General features: G+C 55.1%; 2 protein-coding genes and 1 long non-coding RNA gene across 18 annotated transcripts in view, besides 6 other annotated features; 2 read left to right on the forward strand and 1 right to left on the reverse strand.

The window, feature by feature from the left end:
- The window catches only part of P2RY6 (pyrimidinergic receptor P2Y6), a 34,120-nt gene extending 31,389 nt beyond the window's left edge, over positions 1 to 2,731 (forward strand). For all 16 annotated transcript variants that reach the window (NM_176796.3, NM_001277207.2, NM_001277205.2 and 13 more), the window contains one exon: positions 591 to 2,731. In NM_176796.3, the coding sequence (NP_789766.1) occupies positions 625 to 1,611 (987 nt within the window). In that variant the 5' untranslated portion in view covers positions 591 to 624 and the 3' untranslated portion in view covers positions 1,612 to 2,731. The remainder of the gene's footprint in view (positions 1 to 590) is intronic.
- Positions 2,732 to 11,616: 8,885 nt separating this feature from the next.
- On the reverse strand, positions 11,617 to 13,467 carry ARHGEF17-AS1 (ARHGEF17 antisense RNA 1). The gene is made up of 3 exons (NR_147696.1): positions 12,778 to 13,467; positions 11,988 to 12,670; positions 11,617 to 11,662 (listed from the first exon to the last, which is right to left on the reverse strand). It is a non-coding gene; the product is annotated as an ARHGEF17 antisense RNA 1 (long non-coding RNA).
- Positions 11,754 to 11,893: a silencer, noted in NCBI's record as "silent region_3737". NCBI's record gives its function as "represses an Ori minimal core promoter by ATAC-STARR-seq in GM12878 lymphoblastoid cells {active_cell/tissue: GM12878}" and the evidence as "EXISTENCE:reporter gene assay evidence [ECO:0000049][PMID:35858748]".
- Positions 12,294 to 12,623: a silencer, noted in NCBI's record as "silent region_3738". NCBI's record gives its function as "represses an Ori minimal core promoter by ATAC-STARR-seq in GM12878 lymphoblastoid cells {active_cell/tissue: GM12878}" and the evidence as "EXISTENCE:reporter gene assay evidence [ECO:0000049][PMID:35858748]".
- Positions 12,294 to 13,371: a biological region, named in NCBI's record as "H3K27ac hESC enhancer GRCh37_chr11:73019433-73020310".
- The window catches only part of ARHGEF17 (Rho guanine nucleotide exchange factor 17), a 61,113-nt gene continuing 55,730 nt past the window's right edge, over positions 12,382 to 17,764 (forward strand). Inside the window, exon 1 of the mRNA NM_014786.4 lies at positions 12,382 to 15,936. Within this exon, the coding sequence (NP_055601.2) occupies positions 12,745 to 15,936 (3,192 nt within the window). The 5' untranslated portion in view covers positions 12,382 to 12,744. The remainder of the gene's footprint in view (positions 15,937 to 17,764) is intronic.
- Positions 12,494 to 13,371: an enhancer, noted in NCBI's record as "H3K27ac hESC enhancer chr11:73019433-73020310 (GRCh37/hg19 assembly coordinates)". NCBI's record gives its function as "activates a minimal SCP1, AML or CMV promoter by ChIP-STARR-seq in naive H9 embryonic stem cells {active_cell/tissue: H9 hESC(naive)}" and the evidence as "EXISTENCE:reporter gene assay evidence [ECO:0000049][PMID:30033119]".
- Positions 12,854 to 13,073: a silencer, noted in NCBI's record as "silent region_3739". NCBI's record gives its function as "represses an Ori minimal core promoter by ATAC-STARR-seq in GM12878 lymphoblastoid cells {active_cell/tissue: GM12878}" and the evidence as "EXISTENCE:reporter gene assay evidence [ECO:0000049][PMID:35858748]".
- Positions 13,377 to 14,197: an enhancer, noted in NCBI's record as "H3K4me1 hESC enhancer chr11:73020316-73021136 (GRCh37/hg19 assembly coordinates)". NCBI's record gives its function as "activates a minimal SCP1, AML or CMV promoter by ChIP-STARR-seq in naive H9 embryonic stem cells {active_cell/tissue: H9 hESC(naive)}" and the evidence as "EXISTENCE:reporter gene assay evidence [ECO:0000049][PMID:30033119]".

Genomic DNA, 17,764 nt, shown 5'->3' on the forward strand with positions numbered 1-17,764 from the left:
AGACACCAGACCTGGCCCCTGTTCTCAGGCAGGTCTCAGTCTCTGAGAGACATGCAGATCCACCATGACCAGAGTCTCCACACCCCAGTGAGCCCCTGGCAGCCCTGCACAGCATGATTTAGTGCTTCTAACCTCGTGACATCCCTGAGAGGCAGGTGCCGCATTCCCCCTTTTCTCGGGTGAAATGAAATCACCACCTCAAGGTCATATAGCAAATGCATAACAGAGTTGGGATTCAAACCCAAGTCCATCAATCTCCACTAACAGAGAAAGAAACATATGATCAGGGCTTTGAAGGATGAATAGAAGTTCACTAGGAAGGCTGAAGGAAAAAAAAAAATATATATATATATATATATATATAATATATAAACAAAATGAATCAGATTGCTCCCAAGAGTTAGCTTTATTGTATCCCAAGTTTTCTCAAAGTGAGGGCTCTGTGGGGCTTCACGGGGTGGTTAGAGTAGCCGAGTTGACAAAGTTAGTGCCCTCACTGTTCAGACAGGGAGATCAAGGCCCGAGGAGGGGCAGGGCCTGCTGGGTGGTGAGTGAGCATGTCACTGACAGGCTGTGTATTGCTTTCCCAGCCTCCCTGAACATAGGAAACCCACCTGGGCAGCCATGGAATGGGACAATGGCACAGGCCAGGCTCTGGGCTTGCCACCCACCACCTGTGTCTACCGCGAGAACTTCAAGCAACTGCTGCTGCCACCTGTGTATTCGGCGGTGCTGGCGGCTGGCCTGCCGCTGAACATCTGTGTCATTACCCAGATCTGCACGTCCCGCCGGGCCCTGACCCGCACGGCCGTGTACACCCTAAACCTTGCTCTGGCTGACCTGCTATATGCCTGCTCCCTGCCCCTGCTCATCTACAACTATGCCCAAGGTGATCACTGGCCCTTTGGCGACTTCGCCTGCCGCCTGGTCCGCTTCCTCTTCTATGCCAACCTGCACGGCAGCATCCTCTTCCTCACCTGCATCAGCTTCCAGCGCTACCTGGGCATCTGCCACCCGCTGGCCCCCTGGCACAAACGTGGGGGCCGCCGGGCTGCCTGGCTAGTGTGTGTAGCCGTGTGGCTGGCCGTGACAACCCAGTGCCTGCCCACAGCCATCTTCGCTGCCACAGGCATCCAGCGTAACCGCACTGTCTGCTATGACCTCAGCCCGCCTGCCCTGGCCACCCACTATATGCCCTATGGCATGGCTCTCACTGTCATCGGCTTCCTGCTGCCCTTTGCTGCCCTGCTGGCCTGCTACTGTCTCCTGGCCTGCCGCCTGTGCCGCCAGGATGGCCCGGCAGAGCCTGTGGCCCAGGAGCGGCGTGGCAAGGCGGCCCGCATGGCCGTGGTGGTGGCTGCTGCCTTTGCCATCAGCTTCCTGCCTTTTCACATCACCAAGACAGCCTACCTGGCAGTGCGCTCGACGCCGGGCGTCCCCTGCACTGTATTGGAGGCCTTTGCAGCGGCCTACAAAGGCACGCGGCCGTTTGCCAGTGCCAACAGCGTGCTGGACCCCATCCTCTTCTACTTCACCCAGAAGAAGTTCCGCCGGCGACCACATGAGCTCCTACAGAAACTCACAGCCAAATGGCAGAGGCAGGGTCGCTGAGTCCTCCAGGTCCTGGGCAGCCTTCATATTTGCCATTGTGTCCGGGGCACCAGGAGCCCCACCAACCCCAAACCATGCGGAGAATTAGAGTTCAGCTCAGCTGGGCATGGAGTTAAGATCCCTCACAGGACCCAGAAGCTCACCAAAAACTATTTCTTCAGCCCCTTCTCTGGCCCAGACCCTGTGGGCATGGAGATGGACAGACCTGGGCCTGGCTCTTGAGAGGTCCCAGTCAGCCATGGAGAGCTGGGGAAACCACATTAAGGTGCTCACAAAAATACAGTGTGACGTGTACTGTCATCAAGGGGTATGCTCCATGCTTTGAGTCACCAATGAAGCGGGTGAGGGAAGATGAGAGGGGGAGGTGAGAGCTTCTGGGAAGGGGCATTTGAGCTGGGTTTTGAGGGATGATTATGAGCTCTCTGGAGAGGAGTGATATTCCATTTATTTAGAAAGCCTTTACTGACACCTTGTGCTCAGGCCTGTGTTGGTTCTGGGGCCCTAGAAGAACCAGTCCTAGCCCTGGTCCATACGGGCTCCCAACTGCTGGAAGTACAGACTGGCACAGCAACATCAGGGTTGTGACAGAGGGAAGCATGGCTGGGGGGAGGGGGTACACAGACAGTGCCCATGACCCAGTCCAAGGAGTCAGGAAAGAGCTCTCTGAGGAGGGAGCATCTGAGCCAGATGTTGAGGGCTGAGTGGGAACTTGGCAAGCAGAAGTGGGGAGCACTTTAATGCAACCCAGGTATGCTCCATGCATATCCAGCTGGGCCAGCCTCGTGCTGGGCTCTGCCCTGGGCAGACAGGCAGAGGGCCAGAGCAGAGGACACATGGCCTTGCGTGTGTGAAAGCTGAGAAAATGGGAGCTGTGCTTCAGCTACCCTCCAGACAAGGGCAAGAGTTAGCCAGATGCTCCAGGCAGTGGGAAGCCAATGGAGGGATTAAGCGGCGGAAGCTTCTTAGAAGAGGCAGGGGGCGAAGTGCAGTGGCTCATGCCTGTAATCTCAGCAATTTGGGAGGCCAAGGAAGGAGGAATGCTTGAGCCCAAGAGTTTTAGACCAGCCTGGGCAACACAGTAAGACCCTGTTTCTACAAAAAAATATAAAAAATAGCCTGGTGTGGTGGTGTCTGACTGTAGTACTAACTACTCAGGAAGCTGAGGTGCTGAGTTCGAGATTACAGTGAGCTAGGAGTGATCCAGTGCATTCCAGCCTGAGCGACAGAGGGAGACACTGTCTCTAAAAAAATTAAAATAAATCGGGAGCAGTGGCTCACATCTGTAATCCCAGCACTTTGGGAGGCTGAAGCAGGTGGATCACTTGAGGTCAGGAATTTGAGACCAGCCTGGCCAACACAGTGAAACCCTGTCTCTACCGAAAATACAAAAATTAGCTGGGCATGGTGGCTGGTGCCTGTAATCCCAGCTACTCGGGAGGCTAAGGCAAGCGAATTGCTTGAACCTGGGAGGCGGAGGTTGCAGTGAGCCGAGATCACATCACTGCATTCCAGCCTGGGCGATGGAGCGAGAACCTGTCTCAAAAAAAACCCAAAACAAAACAAAATTAAATAATAACTAAGAAAAAAGAAAAGAAAAGAAGAAGGGATCAGCTTGAGCCAGGAGGAATTCAAAAAGCAGAGTGAAGCAGCTCTGGAGCTACTCCCAGTAGAAGGCATGGGCGTGATGTGTGCAAAACCCAGAGTTAGAAATGATCTGAGGGGCTGGGCATGGTAGCTCACACCTGTAATCCCAGCACTTTGGGAGGCCGAGGCAGGCAGATCACTTGCGGTCAGGAGTTTGAGACCAGCCTGGCCAACATGGCAAAAACTCATCTCTACTAAAAAATACAAAAATTAGCTGGGTATAGTGGCAGGTGCCCATAGTCCCAGCTACTCCAGAGGCTGAGGCATGGGAATCACTTGAACCTGGGAGGTGGAGGTTGTGGTCAACTAAGATTGCACCACTGCACTCCAGCCTGGGTGACAAAGCAAGACTCTGTCTCAAAAAAAAAAAAAAAAAAATTGGCTGTAAAGCAACAATGAGTTTCGATTAAATGGGGGGTAGGCGGGGTGGGGTGGGGCCTGGGTGTGTGGAAGGGGGTGGCCAGGAAAAGAGCTGGGTAGGGCCAGAGCATTCAATGCTAGGATGAGCCCCTGATCCACCTCTCCTTCATCTACCTCTTCAAGTGTGGCTCTTTCAACCTTAGGGTATCCTCTGTACCTGGGGTACCTCCACCAGGCCCCTAAGTGAGGGGAAACAACTGTTCAACATTGCTTCATTCTAAATGGAGGAGCCAGCAGCTTGAGAGCCTCAGGGCCACCAGGAAGCTGCTACATGGAGGTCCCACGGCTGGAAGCCTACTGACCAGTCTCATGACAGACTGTTCCCGCCGTGTTCCCCTCCTGCCCTCTCAGGCCCATCGTTCTGACGTGGGTACCCAGAGAGCTGCCTTGAGGCCATCTCATAAGGAGGCATGTCAAACGCAGATCCGAGCCTTTCAAAGCCTTGGAAAGGCATCTTTACCGAAGGTCCCTGGAGGAAGCAGCAAAGGGGACTGGTAGCACACAAGACCCCACACCCAGCCAGGTGTGGTGGCTCATGCCTGTAATCCTAACACTTCGGGAGGCTGAGGCAGGCGAATCATGAGGTCAGGAGATTGAGACCATCCTGGCCAACATGGTGAAACCCCGTCTCTACTAAAAATACAAAAATTAGCTGGGCATGGTGGTGGGCGCCTGTAGTCCCAGCTACTCATGAGGCTGAGGCAGGAGAATTGCTAGAACCCAGGAGGCGGAGATTGCAGTGAGCCAAGATTGCACCACTGTACTCCAGCCTGGGGACGGAGTGAGACTCCATCTCAAAAAAAAAAAAAAAAAAAAAAAGAAAGAAAGAAAGAAAGAAAAGAAAAGAAAAAAAAGACCCCACACCCTCCACCAAATCCTCTTCCCCTCCCAGAACCACCCCTCAGCCACTCCTTTGCAGCTCCTCATTCTCTCTGCCACTTTTTTTTTTCATTTCTTCTCCCCCTCACTTCTCCTCCAGTCCTTGTGCCCTCCTCCCAGATCTGTTTTTCTTATGTAGAACAATCTAGCCTGCCCTTGGCTGCTGGTGCACCATACAGAAACTGTCTTTTTGGAAGGCAGAGCAGGGAGGGGAAGGACTGTATAACTTATGCAATATTTTTCTTTTAGCCCCACCTAGTCCCCAAGCTGCTGGGCAATAGGGTCATTCAGAGAGGGGCAATGGAGGAGTTAAACACCATGGTAATGTCACAGGTGTGCTTGCAGCTGGCTGAGGAAGTTGGAAACCCAGGCCCAACCCACCCTGGGAGGCCATTCAAAGTGTCCTTGCTGGAGAGGCAGACCATTTGGACAGAAGGAACTTTGACTTGTGACCACAGCAAGACTGATTTATGTTAGAAGACAGAGGCTGGTTTTTATTCCCTGTACGGTGCCCCGCCGTGCCAAGCGGGGCACATAGGACCCACCTTGCATCTAGCTTTGAGTCTGAGACCAATCTTCTCAATTGCCTGGGATGGGGGCTAGGGGATAGTGAGAGCAAGGGCAGGGGACAGGGCCTCTGCTCGTAGCCCACCTGAGCCCCTGTAGAGAGTCCCAGATGACTGTCCCAGCTGACCTCCAAGAGCTGTGACCCTTTGCTTACTCTTCCAGGAGTGGAAATTGTGACCCACAGGTAAATTCCATTCCAAGCTTCCCTTTGTGAGGCCAAATAGCATGGAAGGTGCAGACTCCAGAGCCAGACCATCCTGGCATATGTCCTGGCTCTACCATTTACTAGCTGTGTTATGCTATGCAAGTTATTTATTTATTTTTTATTTTTAGTTTTTTAATTTCTTTTTTGAGACGGAGTCTTGCTCTGTCGCCAGGCTGGAATGCAGTTGTGCCATCTCAGCTCACTGCAACCTCCACCTCCTGGGTTCAAGCGATTCCCCTGCCTCAGCTTCCCGAGCAGTTGGGACTACAGGTGCGTGCCACCACACCTGACTAATTTTTTGTATTTTAGTAGAGACAGGGTTTCACCATGTTGGCCAGGATGGTCTCTATCTTCTAATCTCATGATCTGCCAGCCTCAGCCTCCCAAAGTGCTGGGATTACAGGCATGAGCCACCGTGCCTGGCCTATTTTTTATTTTTTATTTTTTTTGAGACGGAGTTTTGCTCTTGTTTTCTAGGCTGGAGTGCAATAGCGTGATCGTGGCTCACTGCAAAACTCCACTTCCTGAGTTCCAGCTATTCTCCTGCCTCAGCCTCCTGAGTAGCTGGGATTACAGGCACATGCCACCACGGCCAGCTAATTTTTATATTTTAGTAGAGATGGGGTTTCACCATGTTGGTCAGGATGGTCTCGAACTCCTGACCTCAGGTGATCTTCCCGCCTCAGCCTCCCAAAGTGCTGGGATTACAGGCATGAGCTACCGCATCCGGCCTGGGCAAGTTATTTCATCTCTCTGTGCCTCAGCTTCATTATTATTCCCATAACATTATTATAAATGTCTATCTTTTTAAAGCCACTAGTTTTGGGGGGGCTTTTGTGACCCACAGCCAAAACTAATACCTTTACTTGGGTTCCATCCTGGGATGGTGGACCTTAGGTGCAGGCGAGGCAGTGACCTGGACAGAGATGGGGCCAGGGTCTAGGCTGGAGTGGGAGCTAGGAGCCAACAAGGTCTAGGGACACCGGGAAGGCTGCTTAGAAAAGATGCAGAGCCTGGGGAATGGTCAGCCCCAAAGTGGCTTGAGCTCAAGTGGGTGGGTGGGCTTCATGAAAGAAAGAGTGGGAAGAGGGGAGTCGTTCTGGGAACTCCAAGATTAGGGAGCTGAGGAGAAGGAGCCACAGACGTGGAGGGCAGGAGCCCAGGGGTCTCTGAATGATGGTGGTATGAGGGGAGAGTGGAGCTGGGTGAGTGAGTGAGAGGTTTCAGGGAAGGAAGTAGGGGTAGTAGGCGGAGAAGAGAAGAGGGAGAAAGATTCCAAGAAAGGCCAGGCCCAGGGATGGAGTTTCCAGGACAAAGTTGTTGCTGAGAGTTGGCTGGTGGCAGTTGAGGGCAGAGAACCCGGGTGGGGTGGGGGTGGGGAGGTAGGAGCAAGGATTGGGAAGCTAGAAAGTCGGGAATCAGTGACTGTCTTGGGGAAATTTCCATTCCAAACAGGAAAAGCCCAGGAGCATTTGATCTGTCCTAGCAATGGACAAAGCTGGCCTCTTCCTCCCTCATTCATTTGTTCAATGAATATTGACTCTGTGTTTCTGAGACGAGCTCAGGTCCAGGCCCTAGTCTTGGGAAAGAATCCAAGGGGTTTGGGATGCAGACAAGGAAACAGTTCATCCAGTAAACAATACTTATTGGGCACCTCCTATATGCCAAGCATCATGCTGGGCCCTCAGGGAGCCCCTAGTCTGATGGAGGAGACAGGTAATAATGAAACATATACAGACCTGGATCATTACAGCTGGGGAAGAGAGCTCAGATCATAAAGAGGACCCAGGCAAGGAAGGTATCACTAGGGAGATGATGAGCTCCTGGAATGGTCCATGGCCAAGAAATGCTAAATACCAGAGGGGCCCTGACCTAGTTGAGGGGCAGAAAATGTATCTGAGTGAGGCCTAGAGCCTCAGAAGGCCTCAGAAGGCATTAGCTCAGTGCAGAAGGGCTGCAACAGAGTCTGTGACTTTGACCAAGCACCTTCACTCCTCTGAGCCTCTGTTTCCTTACCTGTAAAATACTAGACCTTCCTAAGCCACCAGGGATACCGAGGAATAGAAAAGTTAGAGCAGAAATTTCATAAAGTACTAAACATACTATAACCCAATAGAAAAATGAGCAAGAGGCACAAATAAGCACTTCATATGAAAGGAAACACAAGGCCAGGCGTGGTGGCTCATGCCTGTAATCCTAGCATTTTGGGAGGCTGAGATGGGCGGATCACAATGTCAGGAGTTTGAGACCAGCCTGACCAACATGGTGAAACCTTGTGTCTACTAAAATATAAAAATTAGCTGGGCGTGGTGGCATGCACCTGTAATCCCAGCTACTTGGGAGGCTGAGGCAGGAGAATTGCTTGAACCTGGGAGGCAGAGATTGCAATGAGCCAAGATCACACCATTGCACTCCAGCCTGGGCAATAAGAGAGAAACTCCGTCTCAAAAAAAAAAAAAAAAAAAAAAAAGGAAACACAGATGATTAAAAAACATAGACGAGAAATTAGATCCCAGCTTGACAATGCTTCCCAATGTTGATCAATTGCCTGCCCTATGCCCAAGCACTTCTGTCCATGTGTACCTGGAGTCATGCACAATGCTCAGCAAACACCTGGAAACACCCAAATGTGCATCAGCAAGACACTGGATCAACACACTGTGATATAGTCACACACTGAAATAGTCCACATGGCCAGAATGGAGTATAGAGGCATGCAACAATATGGGTAAATCTTTTCTTAATATTAAGAAAAAAGAAGTCCCAACAAATTTTGTAAAGCAAGAAACCCCCCTCCTTTTTTTTTTTTTTTTTTGAGACAGTCTTGCTCTGTTGCCCAGGCTGGAGTGCAGTGGTGTGATCTTGGCTCACTGCAACCTCCACCTCCTGGGTTCAAGTGATTCTCCTGCCTCAGCCTCCCAAGAAGCTGGGATTATAGGCATGCACCACCACGCCTGGCTAATTTTTGTATTTTTAACAGAGGCTGGGTTTCACCATGTTGGCCAGGCTGGTCTTGAACTCCTGGCCTCAAGCAATCCACCCGCCTCAGCCTCCCAAAGTGTTGGGATTACAGGCGTGAGCCACCACGTCCAGCAGGATGCCTTTTTTTTTTTTATAAAGTTAAGAACAACTAAAATGAAAAGATATAGTTTGAAGGAATATATAGTTTGAAGGAATATGTTTGAAGGAAAGCAAGAGAATGCTGAACACAGGATTTGAGATGATGATTTTCTGATTTTCTGTGTGGTGGGACAGCAGGAGGATGGGAGCAGAAGAACTGTATAATGAGATGTGAATTATTTTAAAGGTCCTAGTTGTATTGTTTTGTTTTTTGGCGAAAGCCAATTAAATAACTGATGAGAATGTATCATTATCAAAATATTATAAAGAATTTAATCCTGTGTGCTTAAGGTCTAATTATATAGGAAAGGGGGCAATCTCAGATAGTTTCTATTTGGCTTTGCAATGGAGTCAGAAGAGTCAGATTTCCCCCTAAGACAGCTCCTTCATGGAGCTCATTGCTTCTTGTCCCCGCACTCATCATTTCTCTCCCTCTTAAGTACAGTTGCTCCTCGACTTACGATGAGGTTACATCCCAATAAACCCACTGAAAATATTATAAGTCAAAAAGACATTTAATACACCTAGCCTACCAAACATCAGAGCTTAGCCTAACCCACCTTAAACAGGCCCAGAACACTTCCATAGCCTAGAGTTGGACAAAAATCATCTAACACAAAGCCTATTTTATAATAAAATGCTGAATATCTCATGTAATTTATTGAATACTGAAAGTGAAAAACAGAATGATTATATGTGTGCTCAAAGTATGGTTTCTACTGGATGTACATAGCTTTTGCATCATCATAAAGTCAAAAAATCATTAAGTTGAAATATCATGAGCTGGGGACTTATCTGTACCCGAAGCCCACCAAAGCCCATCACTGGCCATGACCTGTGACCTTCAAAACCTTCCCATCTTGATTTCCCCAAGGGATTCCACGGTCCTCACCTCACTAGATCACCATGACTCACTGGGTAGATGGGCTATTGTTTTCATTACCCTTTCATAGGTGAGGAGCCTGGGGCCCAGAGAAAAGGGGGTGAGCTGCGGAAGGTGAGCCTGGCTTCAAAACCCCAGCGTAGGGTTTCTCTCCACTCTGGTGCCCAGTGCTCCCAGCCCCCTATCAAATAAGTCTTCTTGGGGCTAAAAATTGCTGTACATAATTACCAAGCACCATTAAAATTCCAGATCTCTTCTGTTCATGGAAGATAACTTTGTCTTATACTGGATCATAAGGAGCTGGGGGTGGGAGGGTTCCTGAAGCACTGGAAGCAATCAAGCCACTCTCAGATTGGGTGAGCTTCCCTTTGGACAGAGACCCAGTCTAGATCCTTAAACACCCCCCTCCCCACCAAGGGGATTCCTGAGCCAAAGGCCCCAGCCAGCTCACCTCAAGGCCAAGCCACAGGACTCTGGGAGCCCATGACCTGAACCTCCACTCCTCTCTATCCACTTGCCCATCTGTGATATGGGATAAGGGTTTCTGTCCCAGAACTGACAGGGAGGTGGAAAAGTACAAATTTCAGATAGTAAGAGTCATCATTATGGGGGGAGAGAGTGACTCCTGGGATGAGAGTCCTGTCCCCCACCCCTCCACAACCCACCCCTCCACAACTCACCCCTCCACAACTCACCCCTCCCCAACTCACCCCTCCACAACTCACCCCACAGCACACACCAAAACTTGCCCCAAAGAGCAGAAAGAAAATACTAAAGGAGGTGAGAGTCTGACATCAAATGCCAGAGCCAGAGAGGGCACTCTTGGGGAACCTGAACCACTCCTCACTTTTCAGACACCCCACTCCTCACTTTTCAGACACCAGCAAGTGCAGGGATTTACCCAAGGTCACAGAGTAAGGCCGAACAGAGAGGCACAGGCCAGCAGGGCTCTCTTTTATCAATTTCCTAGAGAAAAGGGAGAGATTTACTCCTTGGCCCCCTTGAGGCAGAGCTGAGATGAGGTTGAGGTGAGGGACTCCCTGGATGCTGGTCTCAACACAGAGAGGAAGCACTTTCTTGCTACAGAGATATTCCACAACTCAAGAGGCTGCCCAGAGAGTGGAGAGTGACCTCCTCATCCTGTGGGGTATATGAGTAGCAAGCAGGTTCTGGAGTCCCGGCTGAGTCCTCTCTCTCTCATTCGGTAGTCAGGCAATCCCTGGGTGTCTACCATCCTTTCCTATCCTCCTGCCTGCCCCTCTCCTCTGAACCCCGTCTCCTAGCCTAGTCTGGCCCAGCTACATCTCCTTGGCTGGACCTGGTGGCAGTGGGGTTGGCTGGGTAATGCACAGACTGCTGACCTAACTATGTGTCCCCGAGGCCTTGCTACTGGGGGTTGGAGGGGCCAGGGCAGTTTGACCAGGCCTGAAGAAGGCTGGGCAGCGCTGGAGGGGCATGGGTCAGACCAGGTTATCCTCTGTTCCTGAGGAGAGTGAGCTCAGGCCCAAGGAGGAGAAGGAGGAGACTGGGGGCTCAAAGGAACGAGAACCTCCTTCTTCATCAGGATTTGGGGGTGCATCTCAGAGCTGGCTGGAGGAGCATGGTGTTTGAAGCCCCTGAAATCTGAATTTTAGCAGGAGCTGCTATTTCCTGACTTGCATAGTGGTCAAAGTTACTTCTCCTTCACGGTCCACAGAGAAGGGGTAATAATATTTGTCCCCAAGGGTGGTTTGTGGATTTTAAAAAATAAGTTAAATAATATTGCCCATACATTATAGGTACTCCATACATTTTCATTCGTTCGTTCATTCGTTAGTTGGGCCGGGAGGATGAATGGGATCTAGAGGCAGGTGGGAATGCGGAAGGGGATGATGCCCCAATACCGAGAACAATGTGAGACTCAGACGGAGGCAGGGGCGGGAGGGGAGCTCAAGCGAGGGATCAGCGTGAAGCCAGAGAAACAACCGACACTTTTCCTGCCAAGAAGGTGAAGCAGCTGCGGGTAAGAGTATAGGTTTGGCAGTGGGAAGTCGAGGGCGTTCCCGTCGAAGCTCCTTTTGTGTATAAGGCCTAAGAAGGGGCAGTGCGCTTTGCGAAGGTCTGAAAAAGACTAAGGGGATTAGGTAACGACTGAAAGGAAGTTTTCACAACTCTCCGTTTTTGGGGGATGGGTGCTGCTTTATCCGTCCAGGACTCCGTGCGTTGGGAAAATCACGCCGCGAGGGGGCGCAAGAGCCGCGTACTCCAGAGCAAGAAGAAAAGGCTCGGGGATCCAGGCGGAGAGTCCAGGAGAAGAGCCGCCAGACTGCAGGGGCAGGTGGAAGGCGTGGCAGCTGGAAAAGTAGGGGTGGGGGCGCGGTCGTGAAGGGTGGGACTTCTGGAGCAACGCTGGGCGGGTTGGGGGCCGGTCGGAGCCGGACAGGCGGCTGGGAGGTGGGATGGGCGGGGCGCTTGGGAGCGAGATGGGGGGACAAGGGCGTGGCTACAGCTAAATTCGCCGCAGAGGGCGGGCGGGGAGGGGGAGGGAAGGGGAGGAGGCGTGGCCTGGGCGGGGAGTAGGGCGCGACGGACCCTTCAGTTAGCCCGCGGCTCCCCGGGCTCTCCCTGGCGCCGAGTCCCACCCCTTTCCCGGCCCAGAGAGTGTGCGTCTGCGTGCACCTGAGTGTCAGTGTGTACGAGAGTTTGTGAGTCCGAGGTTGCCATGTTGGAGCCCCTGGGCAGGAGGTGTTTCCGCGCGGAGGCTGGTGGCCCGCGGTGGACGCGGCGCCCTGGCTGCGAGTCTGCGGAGCTGAGCACGCTCAGCGGTTGTGTGTGTCTCAGCGACTCCCTGGGGGCAGCTCGGCCTGCTGGGCTCCCGAGGGACCTCTCTGGAGGGCCAGAGGGTCGCCTCAGTCTGCAAGTCCTCCAGCAGGCTTTTTCTTCTTCGGCTCCTCCCTGATTCCCTCCCACCACGCGGTTCCCAGGCTCGCGCACGCCCGGAGCCCACCCCCTCTTTTGGGCGCGAGGCCCCGCCCCCCGCCCCCTTGCCTCTGCCGCAAAGTTTATTTGCAACAAAAGGGTGCCAGGAGCGAGCAGCCAAGGGCGTTGGGCAGGCGGACGCAGAGTCGAGGAACCAAGCGCTGGGATCCCGCCCAGGCGGTGCCGCGGTGCCCCTGGTCGCTCCAGCCGCGGCGGGGGCTGGGCCTGGGGGTCGGCGCTGAGGCGGGAGGGGCCGCCCGGGATGGAGACGTTGCGGCCGGTGGCCACAGAAACTTGAGCCGCGGCAGAGAAACCTCTGCTCCGGTCTCTGCGTCCTCTTCCCACACTCCCGTGCGCTGCTTTCGGCGTGGGCCGCTGCGCTCCTAGGGAGTGGGGGCGCAGGGGGGGTTGGCCGCGGCTGCCCGAGGCCAGCCCCCCCGGAGTGAGTTACGCCACTATGGCGGACGGGGCACCCCGGCCCCAGCTTTACCGCAGCGTCTCGTTCAAGCTGCTGGAGCGCTGGAGCGGCGGCCCCGGGCTGAGGGAGGAGGACACGGACACCCCCGGCTTGAGGCGACGCGCCTCGTGCCGGCCGACCACGGCTGCCCGGGGCCAGCCCTCTCGGCGCGTGTCCAAGCTGGCGTCTGGGCCCCTGGCCGCCCCCGCGCAGCCGCGCCCGCTCCGCAGCCTCTCGCCGTCGGTTCGCCAGCTCTCCCGGCGCTTCGACGCGCCGCGTCTGGACGACGGCTCCGCTGGGACCCGAGACGGAGGCGTCTTACCCGCGGCCGCGGAAGAAGCGGCCGAGGGCCCAGCGCGAGGAGCCTGGCCCAGCGTCACCGAGATGCGCAAGCTCTTCGGCGGTCCTGGCTCCAGGAGGCCCAGCGCCGACTCTGAATCCCCAGGAACGCCCAGCCCCGACGGTGCCGCGTGGGAGCCTCCGGCTCGGGAGTCGCGGCAGCCACCGACGCCACCCCCTCGGACATGCTTCCCCCTGGCGGGTCTGCGTTCGGCGCGGCCCCTGACCGGGCCGGAGACCGAAGGGAGGCTGCGCCGGCCGCAGCAGCAACAGGAGCGGGCGCAGCGTCCAGCGGATGGTTTACATTCTTGGCATATCTTCTCCCAACCGCAGGCCGGGGCCCGGGCCTCCTGCTCCTCCTCCTCCATCGCCGCCTCCTATCCTGTCAGCCGCAGTCGTGCTGCCAGCTCCAGCGAGGAGGAAGAGGAGGGCCCGCCGCAGCTGCCTGGAGCCCAGAGTCCGGCCTACCACGGCGGCCACTCCTCGGGCAGTGACGACGACCGAGACGGTGAGGGCGGCCACCGCTGGGGAGGGAGGCCCGGGCTCAGGCCTGGAAGCTCCCTATTGGATCAGGACTGCAGGCCTGACAGTGATGGGTTAAATCTAAGCAGCATGAACTCAGCAGGGGTTTCTGGGAGCCCTGAGCCCCCAACATCTCCAAGAGCCCCTAGAGAAGAAGGACTCCGGGAGTGGGGTAGTGGCTCTCCGCCCTGCGTCCCAGGTCCCCAGGAGGGACTTCGGCCTATGTCTGACTCTGTGGGAGGAGCTTTCCGTGTGGCCAAGGTGAGCTTTCCCTCGTACCTGGCCAGCCCCGCAGGCTCCCGCGGTAGCAGCCGTTATTCCAGCACGGAGACCCTCAAGGACGACGACCTATGGTCTAGTAGGGGTTCTGGGGGCTGGGGCGTGTACCGCTCCCCTAGCTTTGGAGCTGGGGAAGGGCTCCTGCGGTCCCAGGCTCGAACCCGTGCCAAAGGACCTGGAGGCACCTCTAGGGCATTGAGGGATGGAGGATTTGAGCCTGAAAAGAGTCGACAGCGGAAGTCCCTGTCAAATCCAGATATCGCCTCAGAGACCCTGACGCTTCTCAGTTTCCTGCGCTCAGACCTTTCAGAGCTGAGGGTCCGAAAACCTGGTGGGAGCTCCGGGGACCGTGGAAGCAACCCCCTAGATGGCAGAGACTCACCATCCGCAGGTGGCCCTGTGGGGCAACTTGAACCCATACCCATCCCAGCCCCAGCATCACCTGGCACGCGCCCCACACTCAAGGACTTGACAGCCACTCTGCGGAGAGCAAAGTCATTCACCTGCTCTGAGAAGCCCATGGCCCGCCGCCTGCCCCGCACCAGTGCTCTGAAGTCCAGCTCCTCCGAGCTCCTGCTCACAGGCCCTGGTGCCGAGGAGGATCCGCTGCCCCTCATCGTCCAGGACCAATATGTGCAGGAGGCCCGCCAGGTTTTTGAGAAGATCCAGCGCATGGGTGCCCAACAAGATGATGGAAGCGATGCCCCCCCTGGAAGCCCTGACTGGGCAGGGGATGTGACCCGAGGGCAGCGGTCCCAGGAGGAGCTCTCAGGCCCTGAGTCCAGTCTGACAGATGAAGGCATTGGGGCAGACCCTGAGCCTCCTGTTGCAGCATTTTGCGGCCTGGGTACCACAGGGATGTGGCGACCTCTTTCCTCATCCTCGGCCCAGACGAACCACCATGGCCCTGGGACTGAGGACAGTCTGGGCGGGTGGGCCCTGGTGTCGCCTGAGACCCCTCCCACACCAGGTGCCCTCCGCCGACGACGCAAAGTCCCACCTTCAGGTTCTGGTGGGAGCGAATTGAGCAATGGGGAGGCAGGGGAGGCCTACAGGTCCCTGAGTGACCCAATTCCTCAGCGCCACCGGGCTGCCACCTCTGAAGAGCCTACTGGGTTCTCTGTGGACAGCAACCTCCTGGGCTCACTGAGCCCCAAGACAGGGCTCCCTGCCACCTCAGCCATGGATGAGGGCTTGACCAGTGGTCACAGTGACTGGTCTGTGGGCAGTGAAGAGAGCAAGGGATATCAGGAGGTTATTCAGAGCATAGTTCAGGGGCCTGGCACCCTGGGGCGTGTGGTGGACGACAGGATTGCTGGCAAAGCCCCCAAGAAGAAATCCCTGAGTGACCCCAGCCGCCGTGGGGAGCTGGCTGGGCCTGGATTCGAGGGCCCTGGAGGGGAGCCCATCCGAGAAGTTGAGCCCATGCTGCCTCCATCCAGCAGCGAGCCCATCCTTGTAGAGCAGCGGGCAGAGCCAGAAGAACCTGGTGCCACCAGGAGCCGGGCACAGTCTGAAAGGGCCCTACCTGAGGCTCTGCCTCCCCCTGCCACTGCCCACCGAAACTTTCACCTTGACCCCAAGCTGGCTGACATTCTGTCCCCGAGGCTAATCCGCCGAGGCTCCAAGAAGCGCCCAGCTCGGAGTAGTCACCAGGAGCTTCGGAGAGACGAGGGCAGTCAGGACCAGACTGGCAGCCTGTCTCGGGCCCGGCCCTCCTCCAGACACGTTCGCCATGCCAGTGTGCCCGCCACATTTATGCCTATTGTGGTGCCTGAGCCACCAACTTCTGTTGGTCCCCCTGTGGCTGTGCCAGAACCCATAGGCTTCCCTACCCGAGCCCATCCCACGTTGCAGGCACCATCGCTCGAGGACGTCACCAAGCAGTACATGCTGAACCTGCACTCCGGTGAGGTCCCTGCCCCAGTGCCAGTGGACATGCCCTGCTTGCCTCTGGCTGCACCGCCCTCTGCTGAGGCCAAGCCCCCTGAGGCAGCTCGGCCTGCAGATGAGCCTACCCCTGCCAGCAAGTGCTGCAGCAAGCCACAGGTGGTGAGTCCTTTGTAGGGGCCTTCAGATTGGGGCCAAAGAAGGGCCATGGGCACCGACTTCGGTTGGAGCCTTTTGCATTGTATTCACTGGTCAGGTGCCCAGGTGCCAAGGGTGCTTTTCTGGTCCTGGAAGTGCCTGTGCAGTTTTAAGAGTTGTTAATGACACAGGGCTCCTGTCTACTCAGGCCCTGTAGAAGCTTCAGTTTTCTGCTGGTGCTAATGGCAAAGGGTCTTGTCTGCTCCAGGTGTTCTGGGTGGTAATTACAAAGGATTCTTATCTTGTCCTTTGGATGTTTCTCAGGGACTGGTTTTGGAAATCCCTGTGTGGTTCTTTGTTGGAGGGATGAGTGTGATGGCACCCAGCGCAGGCTCAGTCCTTTCTCTGAGGCTTGCTACTCTGTTGGCCAGACCCTTGATAGGATGTTTGGCTCAGGGGCCACAGTTGACATGGGTTTGCCCTTCTTCGTGTGGCTTTCCTGTGACAGGTCAGAATATAGATGTGTTCCTGGGCCTGGGAGAATTGGGGAGGTACAAGGCTTTACTTTATGGAGGAGCAGAGGGGGCTCAGGGTTCTAACTGCAGTTCTGTTCTTGCTGTGTGACATTGGCCTTTCTCTGTGACTTAATCTCCCCAATCAGGGGAGATAGGTGGACAAACTAGTGCCTATGTTTCCATCCAGCTGGTACTGTGCAGATTTGGGGGAGCCTGCGGTTTTGAGTTGGGGACTCTTGGGGCCTGAGTTCTGCCAGAGCCTCCTCAGATGAAAAAAGCTTCTAGATGGGGGCTTCTAGGGGAGGATAGAGGCAGGGAGGGGGCTGCAGAGGCTGGGCAGCCAGGGCCCTTTAGAGAGGTCAGGAGTGGTTCTGGGCCCCATATTCAGGGCTGCCTCTATGGGTCTGGGGGGTCGGTTCTTGTTCCCCCATCCTGTCTGCTTGCATCTTTTCCCCACTCTACCCCCTTCTTGGTGACTCTGAGATGCACCCCGTTTCTGCCAGACCCCCAGCCCTGGGGGCTCACTCTCCCTGAGACCCCTCCTTCTACCTTCTGGCTTCAGCTATCCCTGGAGTTTAGGCTGTGGATTCAGATGGGATCCAGATGGCATATGCCCTGGCATCTGGGTTGGGAGCTAGATTCCAGGCTGTGGATTCTGAGCTGAGCTCAGCGATGGCCAGTGGTTACTTCAACTGTGGCCTGCGCTCCCACTGCGCTCCCTGACTGTGTGAGAAGCCTGGAAATTATAAACCCTGGACTGATTCAGTCACTCCCTTTCCCAGCACTCTCATGGCCCCTCTGAACTCCCTTTCTCTTTGTTTCTCTCTCCTTGTCTCCAGTTACCCCTGGTCCTGGCTCTGGGGTTTCTCATGGAGGCTGCAGAGAGAGCAGGCAGGGAGTGGGGAGCGGGGCGTTTTGAACCTGTCCTTCCTTCTGAGTCCCAGTGAGGGCAGCTCCGGTGCCCCTGAACTCCAGTGCCAGTTCTGAAGGTGGGGGAGGGGAGGAAGACAGCAGGTCCAGTTCTTGTCAGGGGTCTCCTCCCCAGCCTCCTTTCCCATATATCTTTTCTGGGAGCCTTGAAGGCTCAAATGGGGGAGAGGACAGGAGTAAACCAAGGGACTCAGGGAGACTGAAGGTGGGTTGGGGGTGCTTCTAAGAGAAGGCTTTGAGACCCAGAGAGGAGGTGGGAGTTTACAGAACTTCTCCTGCCCCACCTCCCTTCACATTCTCCTCTACCCCCCACCCCTTTCTGGAGCTCTGAGGCGGGACAGATCTGCCATAACATGGGCTTCTCCCTGCCACGAACAGAGGCCTTCTCTGATCTCCAAGCTTTTGCC

The sequence above is a fragment of the Homo sapiens genome, chromosome 11 (assembly GCF_000001405.40).
Source record: "Homo sapiens chromosome 11, GRCh38.p14 Primary Assembly".
NCBI classification, from domain to species: domain Eukaryota; kingdom Metazoa; phylum Chordata; class Mammalia; order Primates; family Hominidae; genus Homo; species Homo sapiens.